At 36.5% G+C, this 23916-nt stretch overlaps 1 protein-coding gene across 7 annotated transcripts in view, besides 5 other annotated features; it reads left to right on the plus strand.

Moving 5' to 3' along the window:
- Positions 11058 to 11993: an enhancer, noted in NCBI's record as "H3K27ac hESC enhancer chr1:184019783-184020718 (GRCh37/hg19 assembly coordinates)". NCBI's record gives its function as "activates a minimal SCP1, AML or CMV promoter by ChIP-STARR-seq in naive H9 embryonic stem cells {active_cell/tissue: H9 hESC(naive)}" and the evidence as "EXISTENCE:reporter gene assay evidence [ECO:0000049][PMID:30033119]".
- Positions 11058 to 12218: a biological region, named in NCBI's record as "Sharpr-MPRA regulatory region 13835".
- Positions 11746 to 11855: an enhancer, noted in NCBI's record as "active region_2230". NCBI's record gives its function as "activates an Ori minimal core promoter by ATAC-STARR-seq in GM12878 lymphoblastoid cells {active_cell/tissue: GM12878}" and the evidence as "EXISTENCE:reporter gene assay evidence [ECO:0000049][PMID:35858748]".
- Positions 11916 to 12045: an enhancer, noted in NCBI's record as "active region_2231". NCBI's record gives its function as "activates an Ori minimal core promoter by ATAC-STARR-seq in GM12878 lymphoblastoid cells {active_cell/tissue: GM12878}" and the evidence as "EXISTENCE:reporter gene assay evidence [ECO:0000049][PMID:35858748]".
- Positions 11924 to 12218: an enhancer, noted in NCBI's record as "tiled region #13835; HepG2 Activating DNase unmatched - State 1:Tss, and K562 Activating DNase unmatched - State 1:Tss". NCBI's record gives its function as "activates a minimal TATA promoter and a strong SV40 promoter by Sharpr-MPRA in HepG2 and K562 cells {active_cell/tissue: HepG2 | K562}" and the evidence as "EXISTENCE:reporter gene assay evidence [ECO:0000049][PMID:27701403]".
- Positions 12139 to 23916, plus strand: part of TSEN15 (tRNA splicing endonuclease subunit 15) — a 45756-nt gene continuing 33978 nt past the window's right edge. For 6 of the 7 annotated variants that reach the window (NR_023349.3, NM_001363643.2, NM_001300764.2 and 3 more), the window contains exons 1-3: positions 12139 to 12299; positions 14763 to 14844; positions 15137 to 15272. Coding sequence is in view for 5 of the 7 variants with exons in the window: in NM_001363643.2 (NP_001350572.1) it covers positions 12165 to 12299; positions 14763 to 14844; positions 15137 to 15272 (353 nt within the window). In the remaining 2 variants the exon portion in view is untranslated. Of the gene's footprint in view, positions 12300 to 14762; positions 14845 to 15136; positions 15273 to 18569; positions 18650 to 23916 lie in introns of all 7 variants that reach the window. The other variant, NR_125335.2, reaches the window with a different exon arrangement.

Consider the following 23916-nt stretch of genomic DNA (forward strand, 5'->3'; position numbering starts at 1 on the left):
CACAGTCTTGTAGGGAAGACTGAGAGTTAAACATCTGTTAGAAGTACTGTAACAGATGTACCAGCTACAGTGAAGGGATAGAGGAAGATGTGGTCATTTCCACAAGGGAGGTAGTGATGGGACTGTTAGAAAGGTCCAGACAATCTCCATGTTGTTCTGTCTTTCTTGTTTCCCTTTCTTGAACTATGTCCCACTCATCTTTCAATACTAAAATCCGCACTCCTTAGCCAAACTTGGTTTGATAGTTATCATTTGTTCACTTTACTGCAAACAGAGGGAGTTTAAAGCTAGGCAACCACATTTCTGTCTTATTTTCCTTCTGTTACTGATATGGTCTGCCTATGTCCTCACCCAAATCTCACATCGAATTATAGCTCCCATAATCCCCACGTGTCGTGGGACGTAATTGAATCATGGGGGCAGGTTTTTCCCATGCTAGTCTCGTGATAGTGAATAAGCCTCACAAGATCTGATGGTTTTATAAAGGGCAGTTCCCCTGCACATGCTCCCTTGCCTGCCGCCATGTAAGGTGTGTCTTTGCTCCTCCTTTGCCTTCTGCCATGATTGTGAGGCCTCCCCAGCTATGTGGAACTGTGAGTCCACTAAACTTCTTTTTCTTTATAAATTACCCAATCTCAGCTATGTCTTTATTCACAGCGTGAGGACAGACTAATACAGTTACCTAAAGTCAACAGCTTATCTGAGTCTATTTTTTCAAAGAAAGGTGAAGCATCTAAACCTGTATGGTCTCTAATGACATTATAATGAAATCGGCTCCATGGAGTTCTCTTAAAATAACTACAACCTGCTCTGCTCTGTAGATGAAATCAAGGGTTTCCCAGCCACATAACCTACAAAACACCTATTTAAAACTTTTAATTGAGTGCTCATTTAGTGACTGAGAATATTAAGGTAATAACAGGGTATGCAACAGTAGAAGATCATTGTAAATATGGTTGGGAGGCAGTGGAGGGGAAGCCTGGGAAAAATTAAGTCCCCATCTTACTAACAGATTTGTTTCATAAGTTCTTCAGAAATCAGTAATGTGAATTTGGATGTTTCCCCCCCGCATAGGATTGATGTTATAAGACAGTTAATTTGAAAAAAAAAACTAATTTAAAAATAAAAGCCAATTATATTTTAAAATATTCATTGCTTATAATGCTCTTTCCATGGAAAATCGGCTGAATGGAAAGTCAGGGTTGTACACACATATCTCTTTGTCTCCACTGCCAGTAGACTGTTCCAATTGATTCTACATAAAGTTAGAAGTAAGCACTTTCTCTCATATCCCCTCCCCATACTGTTCCAGCACAGGGGACTTCCATCTGGGACAACAAAACCTCTTGGACTGTCACCCTTAGTGCAATGTGGTGGGGACAGGGCCTATGAGGTGGCCAGAGGACTTCTTGCAGGAAAGCTTCTCAAGATGTCTGTGGCTCCAGCAGCCCAGAAGAGGAGGAAATAAATGCCTCTGGGGCAGCTGTGATAGGCTTGAAAGAGCAACTGACACTTGGAGCTGAATTTTCATTTCACTGGTGTCACTTATTCTCTTTGTGACCTTGGAAACTTGACCTCTTTGAACATCAATTCCTTCCTAGGTAAAAAAGTTTTAAATGCTTGCCTCATTTTTTCATTCAACAAACATTTATGAAATTGCTAAATGCCAATCATTTGAGTGTTGAATATTTGAATGCTTCTCCCTTGGAAAAACAGGGAGAAAGTGGCCAGCCCCTCGTAAGTCCTGCTGGGCCATAGTTGGCAGAAAGAGTCTCTTGGCTGAATTATCCAGGCTTCTTTCTTCTGTACTGAAATATCTTTCTTTCACTACCTGGTTTGTTTTACTCGCTTTTCTGATCCATCCTAAAATCCTACAATGTAAAATGTACTTGAATTGACAATTCTGCCAATTTCAACATGAAAATCCTTGAGAGAGGAGCATTAGATGATATCTTTTTAATTCAATCAGATTTTTAAATCTTATCACCTAAACTGAAATGGCCTATAAGAAGTTTTGATAAAGGGAACTGAATGGGATCCTAATTTGAAGCATGGGTCTCTTTGGTGACAAAGCAAGTTTTATGGATTTCTGATACGTAGGCCCGAGGACTCTGGGTCCTAGGAAGGGAATTAATATTAAGGGAGAAAAAGAGCAGTGACTGAGGTGGGAAAGGCTAAAATTAAACTACGTCAGTGTCAAAGTTTTGTCTATGCTCTGGCTGCATCCAAGAGCTATAGAATAGTCACTACGGAGGAATGTTTTCCAATTCAAAACAAGTTTATACAAATGTAAACTACACTTCTACGTCTCATTTAAGAATAGATGCATCCCTTAAATTATATTAACTCATTCCTTCAAACACTTGCTCAATGCCTACTCTGTGCCAAGATATAGTTGCTGGAAATGCATGAATAAATAAGATGTGTCATATAAATGCACAAATGCTATAAGTCATTTTATGTCTTATGATGGAAAAAGGAGCATAAGTAAGGAAGTGGGGAAGTGGAGATAGCTAGGAAATGTTTAATTAAAGAGATGTCTTTGAATTGAGCATTGAAAAATAAGTAGCATGCATGGACAGGAAGAATTAATATTTTTAAAATGGCCATACTACCCAAAGCAATTTACAGATTCAATGCTATTCCTAAACTACCATTGAGATTTTTCACAGAACTAGAAAAAAACTATTTTAAAATTCATATGGAACAAAAAAGAGGCTAAATAGTCAAGGCAATCCTAAGCAAAAAGAAAAAAGCTGAAGGCATCACGCTACCCAACTTCAAACTATACTACAGGGCTAGAGTAACCAAAACAGCATGATCCTAGTACAAAAACAGACACATAGACCAATGGAACAGAACAGAGAACCCAGAAATAAGACTGCACACCTACAGCTACCTGATCTTTGACAAACCTGACAATAACAAGCAATGGGGAAAGGATTCTCTATTCAATAAATGGTGCTGGTATAATCGGCTAGCCATACACAGAAGCTTGAAACTGGACCCTTTCCTTACACCAGATACAAAAATTGACTCAAGATGGCTTATAAATGTAAATGTAAAACCCAAAACTCTAAAAACCCTAGAATACAACCTTGGCAATATCATTCAGGACATGAGCACTGGCAACGATTTCATGAAGAAGATGTGAAAAACAATTGCAACAAAAACAAAAATTGACAAATGGGATCTAATTAACTGAGCTCCTGCATAGCAAAAGAAACTATCAATAGAGTAATCAGACAACTTACAGAATGGGAGAAAAATTTTGCAAACTATGCATCTGACAAGGGTCTAATATCCAGTATCTAAAAGGAACTTAAGCAAATTTACAAGAGGGAAAAACCAAACAACTCCATTAAAAAGTGGGCAAAGGACACGAACAGATACTTTTCAAAAGAAGGTATAGATGTGGACAACAATCATATGAAGGAAAGCTCAACATCATTGATTATTGGAGAAGTTCAAGTAAAAACCACAGCGAAGAAGAGGAGGAAATAAATGCCTCTGGGGCAGCTGTGATAGGCTGAGAATTATAGGATAACCACAATGAGATACCATCTCACACCATCGGAATGGCTACTAAAAAGTCAAGAAATAACATGCTGGCAAGGTTGTGGAGAAAAAAAAAACGCTTATACACTGTTGGTGGGAGTGTAAATTAGTTGAACCATTGTAGAAGACAGTGTGGCAATTCCTCAAAGTCCTAAAGACCATCGATCAGGTAATCCCATTACTGGTTATATACCCAAAGGAATATAAATCATTCTATCATAAAGACACATGCACGTGTATGTTCATTGCAGCACTACTCACAATAATGAAGACATGGAATCAACCTAAATGCCCATCAATGATAGACTGGGTAAACAAAATGTGGTGCATACACATCATAGAATACTATGCAGCCATAAAAAAGAATGAGATAATGTCTTTTACAGGGACATGGATGGAGCTGGATGCCATTATCCTTAAGCAAACCAATGCAGGAACAGAAAACCAAATACCACATGTTCTCACTTATAAGTGGGAACTAAATGATGAGAACACATGGACACATAGAGGGGAACAACACAAACTGGGGCGTATTGGAGCATGGAAGGTGGGAGGAGAGAGAGGATCAGGAAAAATAAGTAATGGGTACTAGGTTAAATACCTGGGTAATGAAATACTCTGTATCAAAAACCCCCATGAAACAAGTTTACCTATGTAACAAATCTGCACATGTACTGCTGAACTTAAAAGCTGAAAAAAATATAATTTGATTCGAAATATAAGAAAAGAAAAATGAGTAGCATGGACTAAGAAAAGGAAGACAGAAGGGGAAAGAGATGGGAATTCCAGGTAGATGGAACTGCAGGAGCAAGGAATGAAACAGTATGACACACTTGAGAGATACAATGAACAGGGCATGGCTGGGAGATAGGATGGGAAGTAGTAACAGAGAAAGCTAGAAAATTATACGGTTTTATACAATTTTATATATAATCATTTCTTTAAAATGGGCAAAGGACTTTGAATAAACATTTCTCCAAAGAAGATATACAAATGGCCATAAGCACATGAAAAGTTTCTCAACATCACTAATCCTTAGGAAATGCAATTCAAAACTATAAGATTTATCACTTCACACTCATTAGGATGGCTACTAGAAAAACACAGAAAATAACAAATGTTGGCAAGGGTGTAGAAAAATTGGAACATTGTGCACTGTTGGTGGGAATGTAAAATGGTACAGCTGCTGTGGAAAACAGTATGACAGTTCAAGAAATTAAAAATATAATTACCATATAATCTAACACTTCTACTTCTAGCTATATACCCAAACAAATTGAAAGCAAAGTCTCAAAGAGATATTTGTGCACCCATGTTCACAGTGGCATTATTCACAATAGCTAAAATATGGAAGCAAACCAGGTGCCTATTGATTAGTGAATGGAAAAGCAAAATGTGGTATATACATACAGTGGAATAGTATTCAGTCTCAAGAAGGGAGGAAATTCTGACATATGCTACAACATGTTAACTTTGAGGGCATTATGCTAAGTGAAATAAGCCAATTTTTAAAGGCAAATATTGTATGATTCAACTTATATAAGGTAGTTAGTCAAAATTACAGAGACAAAATAGAATGGTGGTTGCCAAGGGGATGGGGGTAGGGGAAATGGGGAGTTATTGTTTAATGGGTATATGTTTCAGTTTTAAAGATAAAAGAGTCATGGAGATGGATATGAGTAATAGTTGCACAACATTATGAATGTATTTAATACCACTTAAAATAGTAAATTTTTTGTTATATGTATTTTACCACAATAAGAAAATAAGAAAAAGTCAATCCATGTGATTTATTAACAAACTTGAAAAATCATATGATCATCTCAAGAAATGCAGAGAAAGCATTTATGAATCCAACATGAATTCCTCATAAAAATTCTCAGTATATAGGAATAGAAGGGAACTTCCTCAACGTAATAAACAGCATCTACAAAAAGCCCCCAGCTAACATCATCCTTAATGGTGAAAGACTGAGTGTTCCTCCTGTGATCAGAAACAAGATAAGAATGTCAGATCTCATTACGTCTGTTTAATGTTGTACTGGATGTTTTAGATGGGGAGGAGAAGAAGGAAGGAAAGAAGGAAGAAAGGACAGAGAGAGGGAGAAGGAGAGAGGAATAGAAGAAAGCAGGGAGGGACATTTAAGCAAGGTAAATAAGCCGTAAGATATATTTTAACATGAATGTGGAGTGTTGTATTAGCCCTTCTAGGCCAAAGGCTCTAAAATTCAATGATTTATTAAAGTCTATTTTACTATAGAACTTTAAAAAATGTTGAAAATGGGGGAAAAAAAGAAAAAAATCACTCATGATCCACTACTCCACCACAACCATTAACATTTTGGGGTAATTTTAATATGGCATTTTTAATTTGCACATTTTCAATGTGGGTTTGTACTCAGTCCTCTTCAGTGAGACTCAATATCCATGTTGATAGCAGATGTTGACTAAATATCTAGAGATAGACATGGGATATTTTTTGGACCATGGATTGCTTTTGATGTCTTTTCATATTTACAAAGCCAGGCATTATTTAAGGTTGCATATATGCATCTGTTTACTTATAGAAATTGCCTAACTTACTATCACTTTGTACTCTAGATATTAGAAAAATTTTAATAAAAATATTTAATAAACATGAAATATAAACTAACAGATATAATCCATAAACTAATACATTAATTTAAATACTACTAATAAAATGGATATCCATATACCCAGCACCCACCTTGAGAAACAGAACATGACCATTAACTCTGAAGCCCTGAGTCCCTTCTTGTCACAATGCTTTGTTCCATTCCCCAGAGATAAGTACTAGACTGAATTTTGTGTTAATCAGTCTCTTCATTTTGTTTAGAACTTTACCTCCTGTGATGGTTAATTTTACGGGTCAACTTCACTACACTAGGGTGCCCAGTTTCTTGGTCAAACCAGTCTAGATATTGCTGTGAGATATTTTTCAAATGTGATTAATATTTAAATCAGTAGACTTTGAGTAAAGCAGATTACGCTTCATAATGTGGGTTGCCATCCCATCTGTTGAAGGCCTTAAAAGAATGGGATTCTCCATGAAAAAAGGAATTCTGACTCTGGATTGCCCTTGGACTCAAGACTGCAAAATAAGCTCTTTCCTGGGTCTCCAACTTGCCAGCCTGCCTTCCACAGATTTCAGGTTTTCAAGCCCCCACAATCACATGAGCCAATTCCTTAAAATCAATCTCATTCTCTCTTTTTGGTTCTGTTCTCTGGAGAACTCTGGTACATCTCCTAAATGTGTGTTAGTTTTGCCTGCATTTGAATTTTTCTTCAAATACCATACAATTCACCTATTTAAAGTACACAATGCAAAGGTTTTTAGTGTATTCATAGTTATGCAACACGATCACAATCAATTTTAGTACATTTTTATCACCACAAAAAGAAACCTATACTCATTAGTGATCAATCCTTATGTCTCCCAGCTCGTGCTACTCTCTCACTAATCTACTTTCTGTCTCTATAGATTTACCTACTTTAGACATTACACATAAATGGAATTCTACAATATGTGACCCCTTGTGATTGGCTTCTTTCACTTACTATGTTTTCAAGGTCCATTGATGTTGTAGCATGAGTACTTTATTCCTTTTTAATGCTGAATAATATTCCACTGTATGAACATACTACTTTATATTTTCATCAGCTGAGGGACATTTGGGTTGTTTCCACTTCTGGGCTATTATAAATACAGCTGCTATATTAGAATTTTAAACAAATCAAATATCTTATATACGCTTCTATAACTAACATTTTGACTATACATTAGGTTTTTAGTTTTTATGAGATTCATTCAAGTTGTTGATTGAAACTCTATGTGTGTTTTAAATAATTACTTTTTGAAAACTGTACTCAACCCACTAACCACTAACATAACTAAAATAACTAGTGTATTTCACAACCACTAACAGGTCCTGGCACTTCATTTAAAAATATTGCTCTAGAATATATACCTGGGATTAGAATTGTTGGATCATAGGATTTGTGCATCTTCCCTTTGGTCTACTTTTCTGCCAACTCTTGGCTTTTGTTGCTAATCTGATAGGTGTATTATGGTATCTTCTTGCCTCAATTTACATTTTCTCACTCAATCAATGTTGCTGAACATCAAGTTATGTTTGCTGGCCTTTTATGTCTTTTTTTCTGTTTACTTTCTTTTTTTTAACCTAAGGAGTGTTTTGTTTTGTTTCCTAATTGATTTTTAGGAGTTCTGTATATATTCTGGGTATCTTTTCTTTCAATTGTGTGTTACAGATGTCATTTTCCTTCCACTCTCTTAGTGTTGGAAATTCTTAACTGAGATACAGTTAAATTTACCAAATTTTTTCCATATTGTCAGGCCTCTGAGCCCAAGCTAAGCCATCATATTCCCCGTGACCTGCACATATACATCCAGATGGCCTGAAATAACTAAAGAATCACAAAAGAAGTGAAGATGGCCTCTTCCTGCCTTAACTGATGACATTACCTTGTGAAATTCCTTCTCCTGGCTCATCCTGGCTCAAAAGCTCCCCCACTGAGCACCTTGTGACCCCCCCCTCCCCGACCCCTGCCCGCCAGAGAACAACCCCCTTTGACTGTAATTTTCCTTTACCTACCCAAATCCTATAAAACGGCTCCACCCCTATTTCCCTTCGCTGACTCTATTTTCAGACTCAGCCCACCTGCACCCAGGTGGAATAAACAGCCTTGTTGCTCACACAAAGCCTGTTTGGTGGTGTCTTCACAGGGACATGAGTGAAGCATATGGTTTGTGCTTTTTGTGTCTTAAGAAATCACTCTTAAACTTGGGGTCATAAAATATTCTTTTATATTTTCTCCTAGAGATTTAAAAGTGTTTGCCTATACCGTGTAGCCAATCACCCCTTCTCTCCTTCCCTTCTTGCATCTGCCCACATGTGTATGGGTCTGTTGCCTGGCTCCCTATTTTGCTTCATTGGTTTTACCTATCCATGTGCCAATATCACATACTTGTAATTAGAGATCTTTGTAAGAATTTAAATTTTGTTTAAAACCTTATCTTTATAAGATATTTATATTTCAGAACTTTAACTTCGTAAGTTCTCTCCCTTTTGTTCACAAAAAGGGTCTTGGTTATTTTTGGCCCTTTATGCCCACATTTCAGAATCAGTTTATCAGGTATTAAGAAAATACTTTTTGGGATTTTAATTGGAATTGATAGAATCTGTAAATAACTTTGGAGGAAATTGCCATCTTTACAATATTGAATCATTCTCTTTCTTGAATCTTTCTCTGTTCTTGAAACACAGAGAATAGGAAATTGTGTGTTTTGTGTACAAAAAAAGGAACAAGATATATGTGAACCTCCTTACAACCAATGAATGAAAAGCTGATCCAGAATGCTAGGCTACATTTTTCAGCTTGGAATCACTGTCTCATACAATACTGTGTAAAAGCTTTTCTTCTTCTTTTTTAAATTTTCTTTCCACACTAGAGATTCACATCACAATTTAGTGTTCGCATTTCCTCGAGACTCTTACTGAATTAATATGTCTCTGGCTAGACATTACAGATTTTTGTAGGAATAAAATGATCTGGCTCAGGATATCATTGGGAAATGAGTTCAGCAAGTGCCAGATTACAATGAATTTGATTAAATCCAATATACTCAGGGGGGATTTCATTCGTTGTTTCTTATCTAGCTTTTTTTTCTCACTACTTTGGTTCTCTAATAGAGTGAACTATTGAAGCATTTACAAAATGAGAAATCCTCCAGGATACCAGACACTGAAACTCTCCTCTGTTCTCTAGTGGATTTCACTCTAGATTGTCACAATAGGTATTTTGATTCTGTACTTTAAATACTGGGTTGTCTAAGTGTTCCCAAATCCTTTGTGTTCATTCTTAGCCATTCACAATCACCAAGACCTATTTAAAAATTTACATTAACAGGGAAGCTAACAGACACTCCCTTTTCATTCTTCAACTCTTTTGAAAAGCACGTAATACTCATTCTTGAATGTATCATGCTTTTTCTAAGCAACAGTATTTAATCTATTTGCCAAAGGATGGCATTTATCTGTTGCTTTTTTGGTTTATGGTTCTTTCCATACCCCCAATTATTTTTTCTTGAACATAAGCTGAAATTCTTCCCCTGCAGATGTTTGAGGCTGGTTCATATAGTCCCTAATCCCATTGGATATCCTTACTGATTTATAAAAGTTTCCCTCTACTCAGATTAGCATCAAAATACTCTTAATGCTTTTAAAAATGCCATCATATGAACTGATTTGGATCTTTAGGAGTCAGAGAGATTTATTCACTTCCAATCACTTGAATTCGTGTCAGTGTTTCATGCTTCAATGACCCAATTAATTTCAGTGCCATTTTCTTCTTTCGGGCTTAGCAGCTGCTTTGTGGTGGCAAAGGTTCATTCAAATGTAATGTATTTGAGGGCAACATATGAATCTTCATGTGTGGCTTTACATTTCATTCAATAATAGATGCCCTTCTTTTCCCTGTGTATGATGTGTTATTTCTTTTGATGCATTCAAGCTTTTCTCTTTATTTTTTTGACTTTCAATAGTTTTATTACAATGTAGACTTCTTTGTGTTTATTTTAGTTGCTATGTATTTAGCATTTTGTACTAGTAAATGTGTTTTTCATCAAATTTGGGGAAATTCTGGCCACCACTCTTTCTTCAAAAATTTTTTCTGTCCCTTTTTTTTTCTACTTCTGTTGTTTACATGCATGTTGGATTGTCTGACATGTAGCAAATCTCTGTTGGTCTACTCACTTTTTAAAGATAATTTTTCTCTTTGTTGTTTACTTTTAATAATTTCTATTGCTCTATCTTCAAGTTCCCTACTTTTTCTTTTGTAATTTTTTTTGGCTGTTAAATTCACCCAGTGAATTTTTTATTTCTAAAATTATAATTTTCAATTTTCAGAATTTCCATTTGGTTTTAAAAATCTTTTTTTTTCTTTTTCTTTGCTGAGATTTTCTATTTGTCTCCTGAGATTTTCATTCATTGAAAACATGTTTTACTTCATTGAGGATAGTTATAATAGTCACTTTAAAATCCTTATCTGTCAGTTTCAATATCTGATTCATCTCAGGGTTGATCTCTAGAGTATGCGATCCATTTCCTTGAATTTCATATGTCAGATAGTTTTGGATAGTACTCTGGACTTTGTGAGTGTTAAGTGGAGAGTCTGGATTCTATTATTCTTCTCTGATGAGTGTTATTTCCTTTGTATTAGTAGGTAATTTTCCCGGCTAGATTTTAACTGAAAACTCTCTCCCTTTTGGAGACAGCTCTGGTCTCAGTTCAGATCTTTTGTTTTTAACTGAGCTGCTGTGATTCTGTTTTGGGTGGTTCAGGATCTCTCAGAGATGTGGGTTGACAGTTTGGGGATCCACTCTCTGACTCCTTCCTTGGGATTTCTTAATCTCTTCAGAATTCAAAATTTTCTGTCTTCACTTTTCTGCTTCCCCAGACAAGAATAACTGATAAGTTTTATACATGCATCCCTGGTACTGCTGAGCCTGACTTCTGGACTGCACTTTGCCCCAAGCTAAATGCCAAAGAGAGGAGAATTTTCTTGTGGAGTTCTTGATCTTCAAGCAAGCTTGCCCTTCCTACCAGTCTGCTGTTCACATTCCAGTATATTCAGCTTTTTGTATTGTGTCCAAGTGTAGTTCCTGATCTTCAAGCAAGCTTGCCCTTCCTACCAGTCCACTATTCACATTCCAGTATATTCAGCTTTTTGCATTGTGTCCAAATTGTTTTCTGCTGGGGGATGGTCCACTAGGGTCTTAGTCTATCATGGTTGAAAACAGAAGTTATGTCCTGCCTGGGACTTTGGATTTTGAGTCACCCTTGTCCTGGTCAATGCGATAGCCTCCTAACCAGTCTCTGTTTGTGTCCTTGCTCCCTCCAGTCTATCCTCAACATATCAGTCAGAGTGATCCTATGAAAACGTCCAGGAGCCTCCAATAGCTTCCCATTTCACTCACAGTAAATTAAAAAATACTTAAAATGTGCTACTCTGCCTGTTTGAAACTCCTCATCCTTGGCTTCCAGATCACATGCTTATGCTAGTTTGTATCCTACCTTTCTGAACACTCGTTCAGCAACTCGTGTTTCCTCTAATCCTGAAACGTGGGTCCACCCTGAAAGTATGGTTCTACTTTAAAGTTCTATGTCAGGGCACTGAGTAAGGCCTTTCCCGTCCCCAGCAATCAGAAACCAGGACCCCACTGCTGAAGGCAAAGAGGACGTATGTATCCCCCAACTTTCTCAGAGAGTTATCGGCAGCACTGACTTAAAGAGGATTAAGAGCTTCAGGGCGCAGGCTACTCTTTAATATTTTTCACGTTAGAATTTGCTCAGATTTGAATAAACGCAGAGCGAAACTAGAGAGCGTTCGCGCAGGTTCTAGCTACCTTGGTCAGAAGGAGGGGCTGATGCAACTTTCCTCCCAGTTTCTGAGCCCTCTCGCACTGCAGCTGCGAGCCTCGGGGAAGCGGAACCCACAGGCGCGCGCGCCGCTGCTTCTGGCCGGGCGCGGGTCGTGGTGCACCACGGGAGCGCCGCACCGGCCGGCATGGAGGAGCGCGGCGATTCCGAGCCGACCCCCGGCTGCAGCGGCCTGGGTCCGGGCGGTGTTCGCGGCTTTGGCGACGGCGGTGGAGCTCCTTCGTGGGCCCCTGAGGACGCCTGGATGGGCACTCACCCTAAGGTCAGGAGGCGCGAGAGGAGCAGGGCGCCGTCCAGGCCCCTAACCCAGGCAGAACACTCCCAGGCAGCTCTCTTTCTTTCTTCCTCAGTGGGAGACTGAGGACGCGCGCCACCCTCACCGAGGGGGACCGGTGTGCACAACTGCCAGCCTCAGGCAGCATCGGTTTTGTTTGTTTAAACAAGTTGCACTATCTCAATCCCCCAGCCAAAGCCATTTTGGAACTGAGAGCCAGACAGTAACTCCGCCCCTCTCAAGCCGGAGATCCCTAATAAGCGCTCCACTAGTTTTGCTGTCTAGGTAAATCCCCTTTGGGGGATAAATTTATTTAATCCTCACGGTAACCATGCAAGACAATTTGTGGGCGATGGATAAGATCTAGGGGTCCATAGTGATAAAGATTTAAGCACAGTCACGTTTACACTTAGCCTTGGGCCCAGAATGCATCTTTATTTTGAAAAGGTGCAGATTCCTAATATTTCAGATTTCTTCGAAAGTTTGAATAGGTTCTTGCTCAAAGCAGAGCTACTCACATTTTGCGTGTATTTTTCTAGATTAGCAGCAGGCGAGATCAAGATAGTCCTCTGCTTACTTCTGCTTGAGACATTACTGCCTTGTACAAGTACGGTTCCAAGCAGTGAATAGACAGTGAATGGAGATGTGGGTTTTGTAAGAATCTCAAAAACTAGTCTCTACGGTACTTTAACAGAATTGCACTCTTCTGCTAGAGAGCAATAATTCATAATCATCTAAAAACAGCCAAGAAAAAATTTGAAGGTATAAGTTTGAAGAGTTAACCTTTTTCAGCTTCTCTTGCTTAATTTTATCTTCCTACTCTGTCCCCTTCATCCTCCCAAAAGGTGAGAAAAAGAAACAATAGCATGGAAATATTATTTAGTGCCCTTTTAGGGAAACAATAGCATGGAGAGGCAGCATATTGGTTAGGCGCATGAACTCAAAATCAGACTCAGTTTAAATCCTGATTCTGTCACTTATCAACCTTGTGATTTGGGACAAGTTGCTTGATCTTATTATGCCTTAGTTTCCTCACCTGAAAAATGGGGATATTAATAGTCCATACTTACTTATACGGTTGTTACAGGATTAAATTAATGAATATTTGTAAGCCATTCAACATACAGAAAGCACTATATAAGTACTTAATAAGCGAAACACCAGTAACAACTTTTTAAGACTTTATCTAGATTTGGTGGTGTTATTCAGTTTATATACTTGTAGATTGTTTTCTTTTTCAAGTTAATGGCTGTATACACCTTGACCATCAAATCTCCCCTTTTGATTTCTCTTCTTGAAGGATCAAATTAATTTTTAAAAGAAAAAGAACAAGTAATAAAATAATAGGGGGTATTTGTTTTTCCAATTTCACCTTTCTGTTAATTTAAAAATTATGTAGTTTCATCCAGTAAAATGGTACCAGATTTATTATCCCCAAACACACTTTTATTTTATTATTCTCCTGCTTAGAAATCCTCAGTGTTTCCATACTGATAAAATCACATGTTTAGCTTGACCACCAAAGCCTTGTAACCTGGCTCAAAATTATGTTTTGGGTGTTATTTTCAAAACATGTTTGAAGTCGACAACTAATTAACCCCTGTCCTCCTGAACCTGTACAGTTACAGTGAAGCTGATGGGAGAATGTGACTTTAGACCTGTCCCCATGCAGGTCTGCTAATAATTCAACTCAGCATTAGCCCTGCATATCCACCTAGTCGCTGGCATAGCTGGGCAGCCTCAGAATTCTCCTGCAGGTGTAGGCCCCTGAAAAGTATTCCCCTTATGCTGACCAGTAGTCTGAAAGAAGCAGCTTTCTCTAGTTCCTTGTCAATTCCTTTTAAAAAATCTACTCTTAAAGTGAGAAAGAGTGGGTAGAGAGGCTAGGACTGATACTCTAGCAGATTCTCTCCATATACAAATAAGAGGCTAGGGAAATACACAGTACCCACTAACATGTCCCATCACAAGTTTTATTAAAAAGGTTTCTCTATTGCTGGCAGATAGGTTTCTTTACAGGCCCTTGAATGTATGTGGCTTAATCCCACCTTTGTGTAATTACCTGCAGTATTACTCTACTTCTCCACTTACTTAAATCATAATGTTCTTCAGTGCTCAACTTGTATCCCATCCCACCTCTGCTATAAATCTTTCACCAGTCCCTCTGAGTAGAGCTCTTCTGACCTGCTGTGTCATGTTTTTTATTCCATTTACATGGTTTTTAATCACTTACAGTCATATATTGTTATTTGCCTAACAATTTTAAGTGTGCATGTATTTAACAATTGCAAGTTCTTTAGAGACAGAGATAAGATCTTATATTGCCTTTTAACTTCCACTATACCTAGAAGAATTTTATAGATTATATATGCTTGATGACCACTTGATGATTGGAAGAAAATATTAAATAATTTTTTCTTCTCAATTTGACAATTATATTTTAATTTTCAGTATCTAGAAATGATGGAATTAGATATAGGAGATGCCACCCAAGTTTATGTAGCGTTCTTGGTTTACCTGGACCTCATGGAAAGTAAGTTGTTTGTTTATATTGTTTTGTTATTGGGACTGTGGTAGAGATTTGGGGGGTTGGATTGGGATATAGCATTCTTAACATAATAAGCAATCTTTTATGCATTTGCTGTTAATTTTGCAATTTATTTATTTACATTGGGAATTACTGAGTAACAGAAGCTACTAGAAAAGCAAAGACAGGAGGTAGTGTTACGAGTGATATTTGCTCAGCTGAGTATTAGGTAGAAGTTTGGAGTTTTTATTTTTTGTATTTAATAAACATTATTGTCCATTCAATGATGCTCTTTCAGGCAAAAGCTGGCATGAAGTAAACTGTGTAGGATTACCAGAACTCCAGCTCATCTGCCTTGTTGGTACTGAGATAGAAGGGGAGGGGTTACAGACTGTGGTGCCTACCCCCATCACTGCTTCCCTCAGCCATAACAGGTGAGCAGGTGATTTTGGTCTAAGTTCCTTTCCCGAGTAAAGCAGTAGGAAACATTAAACATAGTGATGTAATACTTTTAATGAAATTTGGGATACAGGGTTCATAGCTTTACTCTTGGCTATTTGAGGAATAAGTTAAATATGAGTGTTGTATTCGGCCATTCTTGCATTGCTATAAAGAAATACCTGAGACTGAGTAATTTCTTAAAAAAAAAAGAAGAGGTTTAAGTGGCTCATAGTTCTGAAGGCTTTACAGTAAGCATGGTGCTGGCATCTACTCGGCTTCTAGGGAGGCCTCAGGAAGCTTATAATCATGGAGGAAGTTCGTGAAGCAAGAGCAGGCACATCATATGGCAAAAGCAGGAGTGAGAGAGAGTGTTGAGGGGGAGGTTCCACACACTTTTAAATGACCAGATCTCACGAGAACTCATTGTCCTGAAGACAGCACTCAGCCATGAAGGATTTACCCCTATAACCCAAACATCTCCCACCAGGCCCCACCTCCAACATTGGGGATTACAGTTCAACATGGGATTTGGGCAGGAACAAATATACAAAGTATATCAAGCATTCAACAAGTATTTATTTAGCACTTACTCTATGGTCAGTACTTTTTCAGAGACAGTATGTATGGTAGAAATATTTATATTCTTGGTAAGGAAGCAAGACCATTACATATGAAATAACAGCTGTTATAAGATGTACCATGTAATACAAATTATACTTTATATAGCAGTTGGTGAAAAGCATGATTAACATGCAAGCTGAAATCAAATTTTCATGTAGCTTTTTTTAAAAGCTTTAAAAAAGAGACTTTTTTTAGGACCTTTTTTTAAAAAGCTTAGGTACACAGCATTGGATTAAACATGTCTTTGTTTCATGACATACTCTCATTATTAGTTCATGCTTGGTTTTTATTTATTTACTTAGTTATTTTTAATAATGTAATAAGTATCTCTGTACCCATCACCCAAAGCAAAACTAGATTCTTGATAATAACTAACATCTAATCTTATAAGTCCCTTCCTTAACGTGCTTTCACTGACCTGAGGTAACTCATTCTGAATTCCATGTACATTGGGAATTTTTAAATTTTAGATGTTTTTAACTTTAATTAAAAAATCTTATCTTTTAAGGCTGACCTTATACACTTAATATTATATTACTAAAATTCATCCATTCTTGTGCATTTTTTGAGCTGCCACATAACATTCCATTGTGTGATTATACCACCATTTTTACATCCACTCCCTCGATGATGGAGTGTTGCTAATGTTTAACTTTAGGAGATAATTTCAAACTATTTTCAAAGTGGTTGCCTCAATTTACTTTTCACCTGCAGTGTAAATAAGATCCTTTGGAGCTGTATTGTCTCTCACATTTAGTATTGTCAGACTTTTAAATTTTTGCCAATGGAATGGATTATTCTTATTTTGGTCTTAATTTACATTTCCCTTATTACTCATAATACTGAATATTTCTTTATATATGTATTATTTATAAGAAATATCTGTTCATATCTTTTGCCTGTTGGGTTGTTTTTAGTTTTCTCATTGACTTGTATGAATTCTTTATATATTCTTGACCTAATAGTTTTTTTATTGTGTTTTCCAGTTTTTAAGTCTGTCTTTCACTGTCTTAAGATGTCTTTCAATGAGTAACAGTTCTTAATTTGAATATAATCATATTTATCCATCTTTTATAATCAACGTCTTTGTGTCTAGTTTAAGAAATATTTTCTATCTAACGGTCTAAAAAATACTTATATTTTCACTAAGAGTTCTATTGTTCTTGTTTTTAATGGTGTGAGAGGCGGTTAGGGATACCATTGTCATGTGGATAACCACTTTTTCTACCTCCATTTACTGAATAGTCCCTCCTTTCCTCACTATCTGACATATCACTTCTGCTACTTTCCAAAGTTCCAAACATGCATTAATTTGTTTCTGGGTTCTCTATTATATTCCATTAGCCAGTTTATCTGTCCTTTTGCCAATACCATATCTCTTAATCGCTTGCTTGGTAAGAAGTCTTGGTATCTGGTTAGCAAGCCTCCCTTATGCATTTCTTCTTTAGAAGCTGTAGCAGGCAGCTTCTAAGATGGCTTCTCCTAATTCTGGTATTCACTCCCTTATGTAACTCTCTTCCCTTGAGTGTGACCTGGACTCAGTGACTTCTTTCTAATGAATAAAATTTGGCAAAAATGATAGGAATGTAACTTCTAAGATTAGGTTACAAAAGACTGTGGCTTCTATCTTGGGCACTCTCTCTTGCTTACTATAAAGGAAGCCAGCTGCCACGTGAGCTGTCCTACAGAAAGTCTGAAAATAGAAAAGAGATGACAATTATTGATGGAGCAAGATTCTTGAGAGATGAGGAAGGATGGATTCAAGAGGATAGTGGAGGAGAGTAATATTGAGCATGTAAAGGGGTGCTGTAAACCTCTGAGAGTGGGGTATGGGAAGAATGAACAAATGAAAACACAGCTCTATTTGGGTGGCATATAAGTAGGGAAAAGAGCAGAGCCTCTTAAATTCCAGCATGAATACCGTTGATGAATACTTAACATTTTTTCTAGCTGACTATGACTGAATACATAGCAGTCTAGTAGAAAGAGCCCCAGACTATAAAGTCTTAAGACCTGGGTTCTAGTCTTGGGACTGACACTTAACATTTTGTTTGATGTTTAGCAACACACCTAATTTCTCTGGGTTTCAGTTTCCTCGTCTTATTTTGTTGTTGAGGGATTTAGATTACCAGTACATGCAAGATCCCTTCTAAATTAAAGCTGCTGTAACTGGTTATTTTCATTGTGCATATTTCATAAAGCCATATTAAACTAAATTTGCAGATTTCTATGAAGTATTTTTTGTATTTATTATTCATAATGAGAATTGTTTTTTAATATGTCAGTCTATTCATATGCTTCTTTGAGAAGCTCCTTACTGTTTTCTCTGTGTTTGAGAATTACAAATAGTTGTTAGCATTGACATCAGATTTAATCGCTAGTACTTTCCGGTTTTTACTAGCATGATTTCCAAGCCATCCTATATCCAAGAGTCTTAATTCATTCCTCAGAACTCATTACTTCTGTCTTTTAATTACTGTAACAAATATTGTCCTAGCTAGTATTAATGTTATATTATTTGTTTGGACAAGGAGCTACTATTTGAAATTAACCTGCATTTATTCCTAAAAAATAAAATTAATGAAAGCAATAGCCTATTTTAATCAAAATCATTTCATAAGTCTAGAAGTACAAATTTGTTTCCATTGTTAATTTCTAGTATTTTCCAGGTGGTAATTAATGCTTTTCTAGCTTGAATGGCTAAAGCTTGTTTTCTTCTTCAAGTAGAATTAGTTGGAATGATAACTTGGTAAGCCATTTTGATGCTGTTGCATTTAATAACTGAGAGAGCTTAAATCTTTATGTCTTGTTTTTATATAAATATTCTTAACTATATTATACAGTAGAATACTAATATAGAATGTAGCACAAATGAGGCCTGATACATACTAGATTTATATGCCTTTTAGTGCATAACATTTTCTCAACTCAAACTATGCAAATAACTTTTTAACAAATGGAAATGTGTGGGTGTATATGTGTGTATGTGTGATTTCATTATTCAGTCTTTAACAGGGCAGTCTTTTAGGTAGTAGGCATACTTTTATCTATTTTTACTTTTAGTGTATTTTATAATATAAAATGTTATATATCTAACAGTAATGCTGCAATTCCAGCCTTTCATAGTTAATGTGGGAATTTTTCTGTGTTAGTAACACAGAGAAGAAAATGATTGATGTTGAGTCTCTGATAACCTTGTATAGCAAAGAAATTCATTGGGACATGTCCTAAAAGTATTTGGTGGGAAGATGTGAGGGCAACTCACCATGAAAGAAAAAATACTTTTTATTTAAGAGGGAAAACAGCTTTTACTTATTCAGTGATAAAACATCTACATAAATTAACGATTCTGTTTTCACTTTTAAATATTATTATTTGTCAGATAATATTGCTTGGGCTTTTTGGTCTTAACAATTATTTATTGAGTGACTCTTATGTGTCAGGCAATGATCTAGGTGCTGGGGATACCATGATAACAAATACTTTCATGACATCCTCATGAAAGTAGTATTCTAGCACTGAATATTCGCTTAGAAAATACTTTTTTTTTTTTTTTTGGTAATTGTTGGATGGAATTTTAAAAAACAGAATTGCCCTTTGTTCAGATATTTAATTGAATGTGTGATTTGGGACTGCCTTCACTTATTTTGTAGCTAGATAATTGAATAACAAGTATTATGGAGTACTGATAAGTAGTTTAACAGGGATATGTACAAAATTATGTCAAAACCCAGAGGAAGGACAGGAAAAGTCTCTTTAGCCAGTAAGAGACCATGGTTTAGTAGGGTAACTGCAAGTAATTAAGCATGATTGCCTACCTAGCATGGTGTCTAGTCAGAGTAGGTGTCTAGTAATATTCCTTAAGGCAGCAAATGAATGAATGAATGAATGAATAAAATTTCAGAGAAAAGAGGGAAAGGATGGAAAATTAGATGGGAAAGTTTATTTAGATTATGAAGGCCATCATTGTTTTTACTTTTTTGCTATTACTAATGGTATTCTAATGAATAGCCTTGTGAGTACCTCCTTGTACTCATGTATGAGAGTTTTCCTAAGAATAGCTGGGACATGTATACCTTTATACCTTCTTTTTTTTTGAGATGGATTCTGGCTCTGTCACTCAGGCTGGAGTGCAGTGGCACAATCTCGGCACACTGCAGTCTCCGCCTCCCGGGTTCAAGTGATTCTCCTGCTTCAGCGTTCTAAGTAGCTGGGATTACAGGCATGCACTACCATGCCCAACTAATTTTTTGTGTTTTAGTAGAGACAGGTTTTTGCCTTATTGGCTAGGCTGGTCTCGAACTCCTGACCTCAAGTTATCTGCCCGCCTTGGCCTCCCAAAATTCTGGCATTACAGGTGTGAGCCACTAGGCCTGGCCTATCCCTTCATCTCTACTGGTTATTGCTAAATTGTTTTCAAAAGGATTATTACCAGTTTACACTTGCACTTGCAATGTGTAAGTTTTCACAGACTGGGAGAAGATTTATAACATGTGCATAACTGACAGGTTAATTTAGAATTAGCTTCTGTGATTTCAGAAAAAAAATCCCAATGGGAAACATGGGCAAAGAATATGAACAGGCAACTCACAGAAGAGGAACTCAAATGCTCAAATATGTTTGTAAATGAAGGAATTACAAATATAAAATGTGTTTGTGTTGTCTTAACTTTGAAGAAGACTTGCAGACAGTTTGTTTTTATTTTTTGACAGAAATAAGGTACTGTTTAATGGGGAACTTTTGAACAGAACTACAGCTAGCACTTAGAGAGTCTCTGAACAGTTTAGGAAAAGGAGCTCCCTCTCGACATGCAAAGGAAAATGTCTCTTCACTAAGGTTCAAGGCTTGGCGAACAATGAAGGCCAGATTTTAGATCCACTTGTGCCAGGCACCGTTGTGCAAAGCACAATCTGCATATCTGTACATGATGCCCTGCCCCTGAAGCATGTCTGTGGAGTCTTAGGTTTCCACAAAGAACACTATGAAAATTACTGCTAAATGGGTGGTGTCATTGAAGGGCTTTAAGCAAGGAAGTGAGACTATTGTTTATTCTATGTGGTTTTAAGAATACTTTGCATTTGCAGAGAATGTTACAGAATTTCAAAGTATTTCAAAATATTTTTACAAGTAGACTTTCATTAAATCAGCACCAAAATCCCTAGTGGTATACGGGGTGTTTGTTTTATCCTAACTTTACATACAAAAAGCTGAGGTTAAAAGTATATTTTCATTTGTACCCCCACTTTTTCCAAAAGATAATAAAAGATTAAGTGAGCTGTACCACGGTCTCAGTTAGCCTCACAGCTATTAGAGTTTCTCTTGCTTTATTGGTTTTTAAAAAGATTTTATTGTAAATGAAACTAGATACGGAAAACCACACAATACCAATGTATAAATTAATGAGTTATAAGGCAAACGTCTAGAACTCTTGTAATTATAACTAAGTCAAGAAATAGAACTTTTCTAGGCACCCCACAAACTTTTCAATGTGCCCCATCCCAATCATAATCTTTCTTCCCCCCCAAAATAGCCATTATTCTTTCTTTTATAGTAATAATGGGCTTTGGCCCATATATTGTTCCCAGGACCTCTTAGTGCTAATTTGTCTTTTGACTCTCACTCAAGAAAGAATGTTGGAATATCACTGGTGAGACTGATAATATTATCAGGAATATTAGTTTTATATTTAAAAATACCCTGCCAACTTTACTACTCTATTGTTAGAAACAAATTACTTGCCACATACTATACAACCAACCTCAGCATACCAGTTGTAAATCACCATTTTAGACTGTGCGTCTTAGCTGCTTGAATATAGTGCTTTAAAAAATGCTTTGTAGTCCTCAAAAAACCTTAAATAACATTTTTATTAGTAGGAGAGTTGGGTAGCATACACAGCTGTAGAGCCAGAGGAGTTGGCAGTTTGCTGGAGCTACAATTTCTTATTATTTACAAAGAGCATATAGCACATAAGGCCTGATAACTGTCTCTTTTATTGAAGGAGACAAATTTTATAATCTGTTGTTTGTAAAACTGAACCAAACTCTGTCATTTACATAGTTAACTACAACTTAGTTATAAAGTATTTCCCTAGTGATGACAAATAGTCCCACTGTTTCAGTCACCACTTGACTGTTATGTGGCAGAGTGGCATGTATATTTATATGGTTTATTATTTATTTTATGGTGTATATGTATTTTCTGCCTCCTTAAAAAGTAATTGTTCTAAGGAGTGTTTAATGTTATATCTGTGTGCTATTCTAAGAATGCCTGAACAGTTTTTAGTGTCTGCTTCCCACTTACTTTCCCAGGCTTTAGACCTGGTGGTTTTGTTTACATACTTTCTGGCAAGAGTGTCGACAGATTCCATTACAGGGTGAATGTGTATTTGAATGACTGTGAGTGAATGCATTACTTTGAGCACAAGTACGTTTTGTGTTTAGCATTTTCTGTAAAGCAGTTATATATGATATGTGATCACAGTTAAAACACTTTGTCATATTTTTCAAGTTTCAGAAGGTCTTGTGTGTAATAGTCCTTATGAAAATATTGATTTAATGTTATTTCCTGATCTGTAATGGGGGAATAAAATTGATAAAGTGCCCATTTCTGATTATCTAGTGGGAAAATTTTGCTGATGGAGTATGAAGTAATTAATTGCTAGTGTTTCTTGTTTCTCTCATCTAAAAATACTTCCTAAAGCTAATGTAAAATAATTTTTAGTTTGCATTATAATGCCATATTAAGTTGTATATTTGCATGGTATCCATATGGACAGTACTCTAGATTGTTTCTTTGCTAAATTGAATCTAAGGAATACATGAAGCAACTTTGGTAAATGACTGTAGAGGTACAGTTTGCTCAGACAAAGCAATGGTATAAAATCATATTCATAGATACACAGAGATGAAAGAGATCTGATGGATTTAAAGATGAGACAACAAGAGGAATACTAACTAAAACTAGTGACCTATCTTTTTCAGTGCTAAGATTGCAAATGAAGTCAAATTTATGTTCAGATAGCCTGATTAGCTTCACTTTGGACCACCTTGGGTCCATTGGTATTTATTGAGTACCCTAAATGGTAAAAGTATACTATACTGAAATTAGGATAATAGTATTACAATTTTCTGTAATAGTAGTAGTACTACAGGTAGTTGCAAATGGGAAAATATCTTAAGTGACTTATACAGGGACTCAAATTATAAGGGAACAAAATGGTTTTCTAGTCTTTAACTACTGGTAGGGTTTTTTTTGTTTGTTTTTTTTTCCCCCTCATAGACCCAATGTCACCTCCCAATTCTAATGTAAATTTTGTTTCTTCAGTAAGATACAAGAGGTGGGAAAACCTTAGTTGACATATTTTAAACTCATCTGTGGTTATATGTAAATTAAAAAAAAGCTGAGCGAAGTGAAATGTCTTATACAATTATAAAATCCAGGCACAGTTAAGATACAGCTTTCTGAAACTATTAATCTCCTTTTCTTTCCCCAAAGGATTGTAGTTCCTTCCTTAGTAATACGTGAATCATTCATCCTTTCAAACCTGACTAAATTGTAAATGGTTCTTTCTTCTCAGTGTCAGAGAAGAATAGTGGATGGGAGAATGGAGCCTCTCCCATCACCATTTTGTTCCCCTAGGACCTCAAATAGTGGCATTTCTTTTGTTGTTATTGTTTCGTGGCAGTTGGTAACCTTTCTAAATTGAATACACTCAGCCATCTTATCTGAGACAAAAATATTTCAAAAGTTCTTCTTGGCATCTGCATATTACTTGGGAAGTTTAGAAAAAAGATGTAAACATTCCATATACCAAATTGCTCCTTTGCAAGCTTAGCTACCATGAAGCTAAAAGTCTAAGAGCTTTTAAAAGTTGGTTTGAATAAAATTATTTTGGCAAGAGTATTGTACAATTAAAGGAATTTATGCCTTAAGAGAAGTGAAAATAATTCTGTGCACATTAGAAATGAATGTCAGAGCCAAAGTTAGGATTCCTAGCCTGTGGTGATTTGCTTA

Source organism: Homo sapiens, chromosome 1, assembly GCF_000001405.40.
Source record: "Homo sapiens chromosome 1, GRCh38.p14 Primary Assembly".
Lineage (NCBI taxonomy): Eukaryota > Metazoa > Chordata > Mammalia > Primates > Hominidae > Homo > Homo sapiens.